This window comes from Homo sapiens, chromosome 12 (genome assembly GCF_000001405.40).
Source record: "Homo sapiens chromosome 12, GRCh38.p14 Primary Assembly".
Lineage (NCBI taxonomy): Eukaryota > Metazoa > Chordata > Mammalia > Primates > Hominidae > Homo > Homo sapiens.
This window is the reverse complement of record NC_000012.12, coordinates 4,561,314-4,573,649: the sequence shown is the minus strand read 5'-3', so window position 1 is coordinate 4,573,649 and position 12,336 is coordinate 4,561,314. Positions and strand designations below refer to the sequence as shown.

Genomic DNA, 12,336 nt, shown 5'->3' with positions numbered 1-12,336 from the left:
ACACTGCTATAACACACACCGGGAGGGCAGGGATTGCATTCCGAATATCTCCTTATCCCCACCTTCAACGTCGAACTGATACTCTATTTGTCATGGCCTGAAGAAGCTTTCAATAGAAGTGACTATTGCTCTGATTAATTCTTGTACTCAGAGACATGCCCCCACCCGCCAATTCCTGCTCACTTCACATTCCTTTGACAGAAACCAAAGGTAATTTCAAATCTTTGTTCTCCTTTCTTTGATTGGAAATTAAAGCACCAATGAACACGCAGAACAAAGGAACTGGTACTTACCATGTAGATCTCAGAAAGAGTGGGGCCCTAGGAAAGAATGGGGAAAACTATGTAAAACTCTCCTTCAGGACCCCAAATCCATTCCAAATGTAGACATTATATAGAAGTAAATGCCTATCTTCATTGAGCCACTGATTCTAGATTGGCTGCTTACGATTATATTTTAAACGTTTTAATGTTAACTTGCAATGATCATTACAAGTTCTTCTAGTTCGAGTCTTCCATTTGCATTTAACAGGTGAATGCATTACCATAAATAATAGTGTGCCAACCTAAAAACCTAGACAGAACTAGCAATTCACATCTCTGCTGTTTGCTGTCTCTTCAGCTTGAACTGATTTCCATTCCTTTGCCCAACACCAAATGGTCGGATCAGGATTTTGTTTTGTTCCTGCTTTTCGTATAGGAAGTGCTGATGAGACATGGAAATGAGACAATGAATGACCGTCGGATATCCTCTTCCACTGTGTGACACTCACTGATAAGCCCGTCTCTTGCAGGAAGCCCCTTTCTGTTAAATGGAGAGACAGAGGGAAGATAAAAGCAACCAATACTTATCGGGCTTCCAACATGTGCCAGCCGGAGAGCTCACATTCTCTTACCTCCCTTAATACCCCTGCAATCAGGGGATGTAGGAATAATTATTCCAGTTTCACAAACAGCAAAATGTCAGAGATTTAATGACCTGAGGTCTCACACCTGGTGATGAAATGGACACCTGTCCCCACATGATAGAAAAGAACTTTTTAAAACATGTCCATAGGCCAGGCACGGTGGCTCACGCCTGTAATCCCAGTACTTTGGGAGGCCAAGGCGGATGGATCACGAGGTCAGGAGATCGAGACCATCCTGGCTAACATGGTGAAACTCCGTCTCTACTAAAAATACAACAACAACAACAACAAAAATTAGCCAGGTGTGGTGGCGGGCGCCTGTAGTCCCAGCTACTCCGGAGGCTGAGGCAGGAGAATGGCGTGAACCCGGGAGGTGGAGCTTGCAGTGAGCCAAGATCGCGCCACTGCACTCCAGCCTGGGCGACAGAGCCAGACTCTGTCACAAACAAACAAAAAAAAGTCCATGACCCCTAAAGATTCTGATTTCAGTAGTCTTTAAAACTTCCCTGGGTGTTCCCAATATACAACCCAGGCTAAGAAACCACTGGTCTATTCAGTTCCAACTCTTTAACTGCCAGTGAAAATGAAGGTGAGTCATTACCATTCTCAGCATTTAGTCAAAACATCTGGTCTTCCTACAAAGAATCCCAATTTTAAGCTTTATGAGAGTTTTACGGCCTGTTTTGTTCTCCACTGCATCCCTAGTCCCTAGAACAATGTCTGAGATGAGTAGACAGCACATACTTGTAGAGGAAATAAATGAATAAACACACTCCTAGTTTTTATTCCACAAGCACACATCAAGTGCTAGTCTGTGGGAGGCACTGACCTAAGTTCTGGGGAGTTGGCACTGAGCCAGTCCAGTAAAACCTTTGCCATTGTGCAGTGTCCATTCTAGAGCAGCACTGTCCAATAGAAACATTATGTGAGTCATGAGTATAATTTTAAATTTTCTGGTAGCCACATTAAAGAGGTAAAAAGAAATAGATGAAATTAATTTTAATAATATGTTTTATTTAACACATTATATTCAAAATACTATTTTAACATATAAACATATAAAATTATTTTACAACTTTATTGAGGTATTAATTGGCATACGATAAAATATAAACTACAATACGATATAAATAAAATAAAATACAATAAAATACGACAAAATATAAACCCAACTATAAAAATTACTAATACATCATTTTACATTTATTGTTTTCACACCGAGTCTTTGGACTCTGGTGTGTATCTGACACTCACAGCACACCCCCAGTAGGATACATGCCAAGGGCCACCATATTGGACAGCACAGTTCTGGAGGGCAAGACAGACAATAAACAAGTAAACAAACAGATGTGTAATTAGAAATGGTGGGGAAGGAACGCCTCTCTAAGGAGGTGGCATTCAGCAAATGAATGATTGAAAGGATCTAAGAAATTAACAGAGAAAAAGTAGCTGTGCTTCTGGTGCTGAAATAGAAATGTGTCTTCAGTATGATTCTGGATGTGCTTTGTAGCATCTTGTAGTTGTCGGGGAGATCGTAATGTAATATCCTAAATTAACAGCTTCCCTCCCTAGGACTCTCTCCCAGGTTCTCTTCCTGGCATAGCCTAAGCTGTGATCCTGGAGCTCAGCTAGCTCCTCGAGTCCCAGAAACCAGCTGAGGCAATGCTGAGATGCAGAAAAGCCAGATGTCCTCCAGCCTACTGCTTGAGATGACTGAGGACCAAAGGGCCTCTGTTTCCCCTGCCGGCAGTTACGACAAATACAACACACAGCATTTTCCTGAGAGTCCTCTGATCCTTGCCAGCTAAGCAGAAAGGACAGGGAAGCTCCACTGGCATCAAGGTTTTACCCTGTGTTAGCCAAATGAATAGGGCATTCTGAAAAGAACTCCAGATTACTAGAGAGAGCGCCACACTATTGTCTTAAAGCCCAGTGAAATCACATTTTAAACTTTCCCTTGGCTGAAATGTTACCAAAATCCAAATTAAAATATGTGAATACTTGATTGTTATATCACACTTATAATCTATAATTTTAAATATTGTGAAAAACATAAATAATTATTAATTTATTTAAATAAGTTGTCCTCTCAACACCTGCTTGGGGCAGTAGACATGGTGAGATCCACAGCTCCCTCTTCTTAAGTGTTTTTTTAGATGAAGGGATTATAAGTCATACAATTCATTTTCTTTCTCCAATTAGTATCACAACTGTCCACTGAAACCCAATACTTCACGTGCAGAAGCCAGTTACTGAGTTGTTTGCATTTCCTTACTTAAACCTATTAAATTCAACTGGATGAGAAGTCCATTGAGGAAAGCCAATCGACGTTGAAAAGACATTTATTTAAGACCCATCAGAACAACTAGCAATACAAACACAGTAGTTTTAAGTTTCAAGAGTATTTTTAAATGTCATTGTGAATTTGCCAGTAATTACTATAAAATACGACATAATCAAATCAATTTTGAATGTGACTTTTTTTTTAAATTTTATTTATTTTGAGACAGGGTTTTCTTCTGTTGACCAGGCTGGATGCAGTGGCGCAAGCACGGCTCACTGCAGCCTCAACCTCCTGGGCTCAAGCGATCCTACTACCTCAGGCTCCCAAGTAGCTGGGACTACAGGCGTGCACTACCACACCCAGCTAATTTGTTATTATCATTATTATTATTATTATTATTATTATTATTATTATTATTTATAGCGACAGGGTCTTGCTATGTTACCCAGGCTGGTCTCAAACTCCCAGGCTCAAGTGATCCTCCTACCTCAGCCTCCCAAAGTGCTAAGATTACAGGTGTGAATCCTCATGCCCCGGACTTATTTTATTTTTGACAATTCCCGTCATCGTAACTGCAACAGAGTTTGCTTTCTTTGAAATTAATCAAAATGTATAAGGAACTTTACGGAACAACCCTTAACAGAGCTATCCTCATGCAACAGAGAGGCGTGGAAGAGAGTGGTTAAGAATACGGATTTGGTCGGGTGTGGTGGCTCACACCTGTAATCCCAGCAGTTTGGAAGGCTGAAGTGGGAGGATTGCTGGAGCCCAGGAGTTTGAGACCAGCCTGGGCAACATAGCGAGACCCTGTCTCTACTTTCAAATTTTTTTTAAATAACAATTGAAAAAGAATATGGGTTTGAATTCCGTCCTCCACTCACTGGCATTATGACCCTGGGCTAATTGGCCTTGCTTGTATATTAATTTCCCCCTCTGTAAAATTGGGGATAATAATAGCACTTGCTGCTAAGGCGCATGTGTGAGTCACCTCGGCACTCAATAAATGTGTGCTCAAGTAGCTTAAAAAAGTGCAAGTTGCAAACCTCATGATGATTTTGCTAAAATAAAATCATAACCAATACTGTTCTGTTTGCATCATAGTTTAACATTTGAAAAGAATGCCATCTTTATTATATTAGCATGTTTTGCTGGAGATTTATTATTTCAAATATTTTACAGTAATTTTTATTTTATCAAAATAAGTTTGTTTTAGGTATTAAAAATTGCACCTATAAATTGCAAAATAAACGTGTTTTGTTATACGTGGTAGTGGCACGGGTAGTGGGGTGGAGCAAAGGACTTTGTATTAGGGTCCATTTGTATGAGTTATAATCCCAAGGGGGACAACACTAGAGTTAAATCAGGAACAGCGCTTGGAAGAGGAAACCTAAAGTCATAATTTTAAGTAAATATATGTGATTTATAGGAGGACGATTTTTGCTAGGCCTTGGGTTAGGCTGCTGAACTCCAGTTCTGCCAAACAGTGATGCAGGCAGGATTCAGAAGTCAAACCTGAATGCTTTGGGCTGAAGTTTGCTGTGAAACTTTCAGGACAAAGACCCCAAACAATATGATCTTTTGAACAAACTAAGAAATTCAAACTGAGTGGTGTTAGATTTTTAAAATACACCTGATTTGGAAGTTGATCCCATAGATGGTTATCACAAAGTCATCCCATCACAATTTTAACTTCAGTGCAGTGGCATTTTACTAGTTTTTGAGGCAGAGTGAAAGGAAAGACACCATGTCTGTATTAGAAAAAAAGTAGGTCTTGGCCAGGCGTGGTGGCTCACGCCTGTAATCCCAGCCCTTTGGGAGGCCGAGGCGGGCAGATCACTTGAGGTCGGGAGTTCGAGACCAGCCTGATCAACATGAAGAAACCCCATCTCCTCTAAAAATACAAAAATTAGCCAGCCGTGGTGGTGCATGCTTGTAATCCCAGCTACTTGGGAGGCTGAGGCAGGAGAATCGCTTGAACCCAGGAGGTGGAGGTTGCAGTGAGCTGAGATTGCACCATTTCACTCCAGCCTGGGCAACAAGAGTGAAACTCCGTCTCAAAGAAAAAAAAAAAAGAAAAAAAGCAGATCTTTTCTGGAAACGTTCTTCAACTATTCCAGGTAACTTCCAGTAGGATCTCACATATATACAGCAGAATAAAAGATACCATGGATGCACTCACCCAGGGCCTTCTGGAATACAGCTTACCTGTTAGATTAAGGCCTTGCCCTTCTGCTGATTTTCCCTCCACACCCACCCAGATTTGGCCCTGCCAATCAGCATGATCCTCCACACCTTTGCCTTTGCGCTGTACCCAGAGGTGCTTGGGGCACAACCATCAGCACTGGGTCCTGAGTCCCTAGGACCTCGCAATGATACCTCTCTTCCCCAGTGAAAATTCAAGGATCTTTACCTTCGCAGAGGTGAACTTTTGTTTCTTTCTTGCTTTCAAAACCAGGAAGGGAGTCAAATCACATTTCCTTGGCTTTTTAGCATCCATTTGAGTCCTGCATGAGGGAAAGTAAAAAATAAATTGGCAGGAGGAGTCAAATCTAAGTAATGGCCCACACACTCAGGGACAGAAGAAAGCAGGCAGGTTTGAAGAAAAGAAGGCAACAGGCCTAAAAGCAGGAGCAGGGTCCCTGCTTCTCCCTTGCTTCCCTTCTGATGGTCACATGAGGTCAGGAGGTCAGACAGAAGCCAGGGAAGGAGGAAGAGATAATCAGGTGATTAGCAGTTTAGACAACCAAAGGGGAAAAAAACCATTTCCCCTACTTAACTGGAAAGTAAACCTCATGCTTTTGCCACAAACATAATATCCCCTTACAGGATGGGCGTATTCATGGGCTACTTAGATAGTTTAATGCCTATAGAAAAAGAAAAGGGGAACAATTGGTAGAAACACTTCCTCTAACTCTCATTTGGCCATGTTTGCATCTTCTTCATTCACAGCACAGTTCTATTAATAATTGACTTACTGCAAGACAAAAAAAACCTTGCACACATTTATGGAATCTAGTGTAAGCAGTAATTTCTATAAGTGGAAGGTGAGTCTCAGAGGGGTCTCAGGACACTTACATTCCCTGTTACATTAGCAGAGTACAGCTGAAACCGCTTGCTCTGTGTCCTTTGCAAGTCCCTTTTCGGCTTCTAGCTTTAGCCAAGAGCCAGAGGAATCAAGAATACAAGAAACAAGGGCAGAACAGGAACCAATGCAAATATTATGACAGCTTCTGCAAATCACTCCACTGGCAGGCTCTTGCAGACACCATATAAATGATGATGGCACCACAACTTTGAAAGTATTCAGAGGATTAAAGAAAAGTCATGCTAACATTTCTTGCAGTATAACTATTGAAAAATCAGAACTTGTCCATAATGGGAAGTTAACAATTCATGGCACACATATGTTTTATGAAATATAATGCAGCCATTTAAAAAATAAGATAGATCTTTATATGTGCCCATAATGTATTGAGCAAAAACAGTAGAACATGTGTGTAATATAATTCTATATTTATTTAACAGAAAACAAAATGCTTGCATGTCTTTATACAGGCATATTGAAAGATCTAGAAGAAATGAACTGTAATAGTGACCTCTTCTCAGTAGGGCTGGGGGAGGTAAGTAGGAACATTAACTTTAACATACACACACATACAGACAATATGAAAAAATCCTGCACAAAAGCAAACAAAAATTACCAGTAACTTCTCTGCTTAAGATCATAGTTTCACTTCTTCCTTCTCTTCCTTTCTTTCTATAAACATTTGCTGAGACAATTTCACTGATAAACCAGACATGGTCTCTGCCCTCAAAGAAAACTCCTTATCCAGGAAAGGAGGTACATAGAAGAAAGTAGATCATGACAATGCATGTGATCGATGTATTAATACAGCCTTCTGCAACCAGCTCCCAGAGCATGTTTCCAGGTGTTGACTAAGTCAGCTGGAGGAGCTGAGGAAGCCTTCACGCTTGAGCAGGGTAGAACCATCTCTGAAGAATGAGCAGAGCAGGCAGGAGTGTCAAGGGCAGATGGAGGAGGACACACAAAGAACATAAATATGAAAGAACATTGTTTTTTCCAGAAATTTTGAGCACTGTCCTTGGACATTGCCGATGGAGGGCCAGGGAGGTAGATTAGGTTGTAAAGGGGCACGTAGTCCAAGTTAGAGTCTTGGAGCCTGCGTGGCTATGCTAAACCTGGGCTGAAGATCAGATTTGTATTCTGGTACCATTTCTCTGGCAATATCACGAAGCACGATTTGGAGGAACTAGGAAGGCATTTTGGGTGTCTAGATAAGAGTGAATGAGAGCCTCAACCAAGGCACTGACAGTGGGGATAGAAGTATGAACTTGGGAAAGATTTGGGAGACAGAACAGGTAGAATTGTGGCCATCAACTGGACATGGGATTTGTAAAATCGCAACATTGGGCAAAAATGAACACAAAAATTTTTCCTGCCAAGACTCTGTATCGAGTGTTGCCTTCCTTTACTTCACAGAGATGTAGGAGACTATGAAAGTACATGTGGGATGGGCATGGTGGCTCACGCCTGTAATCCCAGCACTTTGGGAGGCCGTGGCGGGTGGATCATCTGAGGTCAGGAATTCAAGACCAGCCTGGCCAACATGGTGAAACTCCATCTCTACTAAAAATACAAAAGAAGTTAGCTGTGTGTGGTGCCTCACGCCTGTAATCCCAGCTACTCGGGAGGATGAGGCAGGAGAATCTCCTGAATCCGGAAGGCAGAGGTTGCAGTGAGCGGAGATTGCACCACTGCACTCCAGCCTGGGCAACAGAGCAAGACTCCATCTTAAAAAAAAAAAAAAAAGTAAATGTGAAATCTTCCAAACAGCTGGAGCCCTTTCCTCTGTTCAGCTCTGACAGCGCTGGAGGCAGAGAAGGAGCAAACACTGAAGGAAACGCTGAGGAATCATGGAGCCTCGTCACAATGCCACCTAACACACAGTGCCATGATTTTGAATGAGCCATTTGTCCTCTCTGTGCTATTTCCTCATCTGCAAAATAATGAGACTGGAGACTGGAGCAGGTGACTTCTAAAGTCCCTTTGGGGTCTAAATTTCTTTAATTCTACAAAAATACTGACAGACTGAAAAAAAAATCTCTTGTGACTTATTCCAACTTTGCCATCCCTTGGATAATTCTGTGATTATTAAAGACTATTTTGTGCCTTTCTTTTTTTATGCATGAACTCTGGCTTCCAACAGTACAACTTAACCCTTGCTCAAAGCTTTGCAAATGCTACCTTTTTATCCTCAAAATATGTGGTGAGCTATGTGGAAAAGAATTAAACTGCTTTTTATATTTCGTTTGTATCTTGTTACATGAAGGATTGAAGATAACTAATAAACTCAGCTCAGAGCTAGAGTGAATGTTCCTTTGAGAACTGAAACCAAAAGTTTGGCCATTCTCATTTCATCTTACATGCAGATCGGAGTTCTCCTTCCCCTTCCTCTCTTTCCTCGAGCGTTCAATCGTGTGTTTGCCTAAGAAACCATTTTTTCACTTGGTCAAGAGCTTTAGTGTCATTTAATTATCTTAGGTGCATATATTTTTTGTCTCATATTGATTGTTAGTCTTTTGGAGACATAGATGGTGATCCTGCATTTTTAAAAAATTCCTTTTGGGGTAAGGACAGTGACTTGTCTGTTGAAAACTTGGTACAAATTTGCTGAGGGAAGAGAAATCTAAAATAGATTAATTCATCAAAAAATTCCAGAGCATCAACTGTGTGCCAGCTACTGGGCTAAGCATGGAGGATTCAAAGATAAATAAAACAGAAGCCTTGTTTTCAAGGAGTTCGAAGACTCAAGGTTAAGGCAGATCCACAGAGGTGCCAGCCTTACTGCACTGCATAGTATTTTATATTAATATATACACATCATCTGTGTATAGAGTACTTCAATATCCAGAAAGGAAACAAGTCTTTTGAGATTTACCTGTTATGATTTTAGGATTTCTACTGCAATTGCCAGTAGCTTGATCTTTATGCCCTGGGGGCTGTCTTTGGGGCAGAAAGTATGGCAGTGCAGGGTTTGCAGGGATTCCGTTTGCATTCTGTGAACAGGTGATAATGTTTTTAATGAACTTAAGTTACATTCATTTTTTAATTGATATATAATAGATGTATATTTATATTTATATAATATATAATCAAGTCAGGGCTTCAAATTATTCTCTACTAGCTATTTTGAAATATACAATAGATTATTGTTTACTATTGTCATTCTACTGATTTATTAAACACTAGGTCTTATTTCTTCTATCTAAATGTATTTTAAGTCACACTCATTTCTGCCAGAGAATTCCTTGGACCCTCTGCATATATCCCTGAGACTCTTGAGGGTTCACTGACTCCCAGACTCTAAAGAGCTAGAAGAGGTTTTGGAGACCATGTCATCCATTTTCCCACCCTGGGGAAGAATCCTCTTTCTATGGTATTCCTGGCAATCACTCTGTCTATGCTGGAATATTTCTATGACAGAGTGCACTGTTTTTCTAGGCAACCCATTTCACACTCAACTGTTAATTTACATAGGGTTGGTACTTGATATTTCTTGGAAGAATAAACTATATTGAGCAAAATTTCCTCCACTGATCCTTGCTATCCTCTGCAGAGTACCAAGGAACAAATCTATCTCTTTTCTACTCAAGAGTTCTTGAATGTTCAAAAGTTGAGTAGAAAAAAGCTTTCTCTCCCTTGCATCTCCTCATCTCCAGGCATTCTGTGAAGTTTTTTCAAACCTCTCTTCATGTGATGGCACACCCAGGCCTGACAGAGAGAGCCTGCCTTGTGGTTGTTCCTATTTTCCAGTTCTTTGTGATCTCAAAGTAGCTACAGTTTCTAGAGTCTGGATTATGTTCTACTCATTGCTAAGTCAGGCAGCACGACCATATTCTTTGATGTGGTCATTGCATTTCTATGAATGCAGCCTCCACCAGCATTTGCTCTTTGGGGAGCCATCACAACACACTCACGATGGGCTTAGAGTCAGCTAAAACCACTAAATCCCAGCACTGGGTCCTCCACACGCTTGAGGACTATGCATTCTAGCCAAGTTGCAGGCAACAATATGTGGAGTTGGAGAGGGCAAAGTCAGGGAAGAGTGGCTGGCATATTGCTAGAGAGTCCCTTCCGATTTACCTCTGCTTTCTCCATAAGGACCAAAACAAACAAGAGAAACAACAGATTTAAGTAACAGAAACAATAAGGTAGAGTGCATGTTTGAAGAATTTCTTCGAACTCCTAGGTTTTACATACCGACCACATGTAGGTGATCAAATCGCTCAAGCAAGACAAAGGACATTTTCATTTGTTGTTTCCACGGTTTGAACTTTTCCACTAAATGGCCTCCTGCTTTTGCCGAGTCTCCACTTAAGCCTGGACAGTGAAGCTTGAATTAATATTGGTGATGCTGTCCGTTGCTTAAGACATGTCAGAGGGGTCACGGTTTTCCTAAGCTTTGAGGGGCTGCTGGACATTTCAAATGCAGCAAATGTCACAGAATAGCCTTTAAAAACCCTCAAATTGTGCATTGTTCATCTCTTTTTTAAGGAAAGATTTGCTAATATTGGGAATTTCCTGAGTGGCAGCTCTGGGTGTGTGATCTACACACACCTTCGCGCGCTTTTGTGTCAGGGGCTGGGCCCTGGTTGAGCACAGAGGTGCCCGGGCATATGGGCTGGGTGGGAACATGAGTAATGCCTGCCAGAGCCTCATCCACGCGAGGCGTGTGGTCGTGGACCCACTTACGACTACCAAGAGGACATGCAGTAAAGAAGAGAAAGAAAGGGAGGAAGAAAGTCTGGCGTCCCAGTGAGGGCTGGAAGCACAGTTCCAGGATAGGTCTGCTGAGTTCCTCAGAACCCCTCGCTCCCTGTCCTGCACTCAGCTGGAGTCGCCGATGCGACAGCATCTTAACATGGAAGTATACTGACGTCGGATTCCGGGGATGCAGCTGCTGCAAAAACTACAACTGTATTTTCTTGTCCGCGCACCACAGCCCGCCTCTCTCTGACCCACATTCCCCGGTCAGCTCTTGCATTCTGCACGCTTTTCATTCTCCCCCCACGACCCCGTCGACCAGAAGCTTCGTCGCCTGCCTCGTACTCGCGCCTGACTGCTCGTGAAGTACGAGCCTCCGCGGCCCTTACTTTGTTCCGGTGCGGATAGGCGGCGGGAGGAGCTGCATGAGGCCGGCGCTGACCGCCCGCCGCTGCGGGAGGCTGTGAGAGCCCGGCAGAGGGCAAGGGACGGCCACGCCCTCCTCCCGTCGCTATAGAAACGGCTCCCGCCCTTTTTATGACTCCAGAGCTGGAAGGGCTTTCTCAGGCTGTGGTCCCAAACCACCTTGCAGAGTAGCAGCCTGAAGAACATACTCCTCGTCCTCCTACTCGCATTCTCTTGCCCCAGTTCTTTAAAGTATAGGGCAAGAATTGAACAAAATCCCAGCATAAAGAACTTAAAGTTGGTTGCCCAGACCGGACACATGAAATTATCCCTACTCTCTCCCCTTCTTCAAGCGAAGCATGTGGTTATCAGAATTACATCACAGAAGTTCTGGCCGGGCGCGGTGGTTTTACACCTGCAATCCCAGCACTTTGGGAGGCCTAGGCAGACCACTTGAGGTCTGGAGTTCGAGACCAAACTGCTCAAAGTAGTGAGACCCCCCCGCCCCTGTCTCTATTTAGACATTTTTTTCTGTAATCCCAGCACTTTGAGAGGCCAAGGCGGGTGGATCACGAGGCCAAGAGATCAAGACCATCCTGGCCAACATGGTGAAACCCCGTCTCTACTAAAAATACAAAAATAAGCGGGGCGTGGTGGTGCGTGCCTGTAGTCCCAGCTACTTGGGAGGCTGAGGCAGGAGAATCGCTGGAACCCGGGAGGCGGAGGTTGCAGTGAGCCGAGATCGCGCCACTGCACTCCAGCCTGGCGACAGAACGAGACTGCATCTCAAAAAAAAAAAAAAAAAAGAAAAAAAGAAAAAGAAAAAGAAAAAAAGTAAGTACATAGCAAAAGTTCTGGGTAAAATCCATATATCAGCTGAACACTTTTTGAGTGCTTACTCTGCACCAGATTGTAGAAAGCATGAAAAGGGAAATTTGTAATTGAGTGGCAGTA

General features: G+C 42.5%; 1 protein-coding gene across 3 annotated transcripts in view, besides 2 other annotated features; it reads right to left on the bottom strand.

Moving 5' to 3' along the window:
- DYRK4 (dual specificity tyrosine phosphorylation regulated kinase 4) overlaps nucleotides 1-11,442 on the bottom strand; it is a 51,668-nt gene extending 40,226 nt beyond the window's left edge. For 2 of the 3 annotated variants that reach the window (NM_001371301.2, NM_001394779.1), the window contains exons 1-2: nucleotides 11,367-11,442; nucleotides 5,602-5,695 (exon numbers count right to left, since the gene is read on the bottom strand). In NM_001371301.2, coding sequence (NP_001358230.1) covers nucleotides 5,602-5,695; nucleotides 11,367-11,404 — 132 coding nt within the window. In that variant the 5' untranslated portion in view covers nucleotides 11,405-11,442. Of the gene's footprint in view, nucleotides 1-293; nucleotides 321-5,601; nucleotides 5,818-11,366 lie in introns of those variants that run through there. The other variant, NM_001394780.1, reaches the window with a different exon arrangement.
- Nucleotides 7,178-7,257: an enhancer, noted in NCBI's record as "active region_5826". NCBI's record gives its function as "activates an Ori minimal core promoter by ATAC-STARR-seq in GM12878 lymphoblastoid cells {active_cell/tissue: GM12878}" and the evidence as "EXISTENCE:reporter gene assay evidence [ECO:0000049][PMID:35858748]".
- Nucleotides 11,313-11,607: a silencer, noted in NCBI's record as "tiled region #10040; HepG2 Repressive DNase matched - State 4:PromP". NCBI's record gives its function as "represses a minimal TATA promoter and a strong SV40 promoter by Sharpr-MPRA in HepG2 cells {active_cell/tissue: HepG2}" and the evidence as "EXISTENCE:reporter gene assay evidence [ECO:0000049][PMID:27701403]".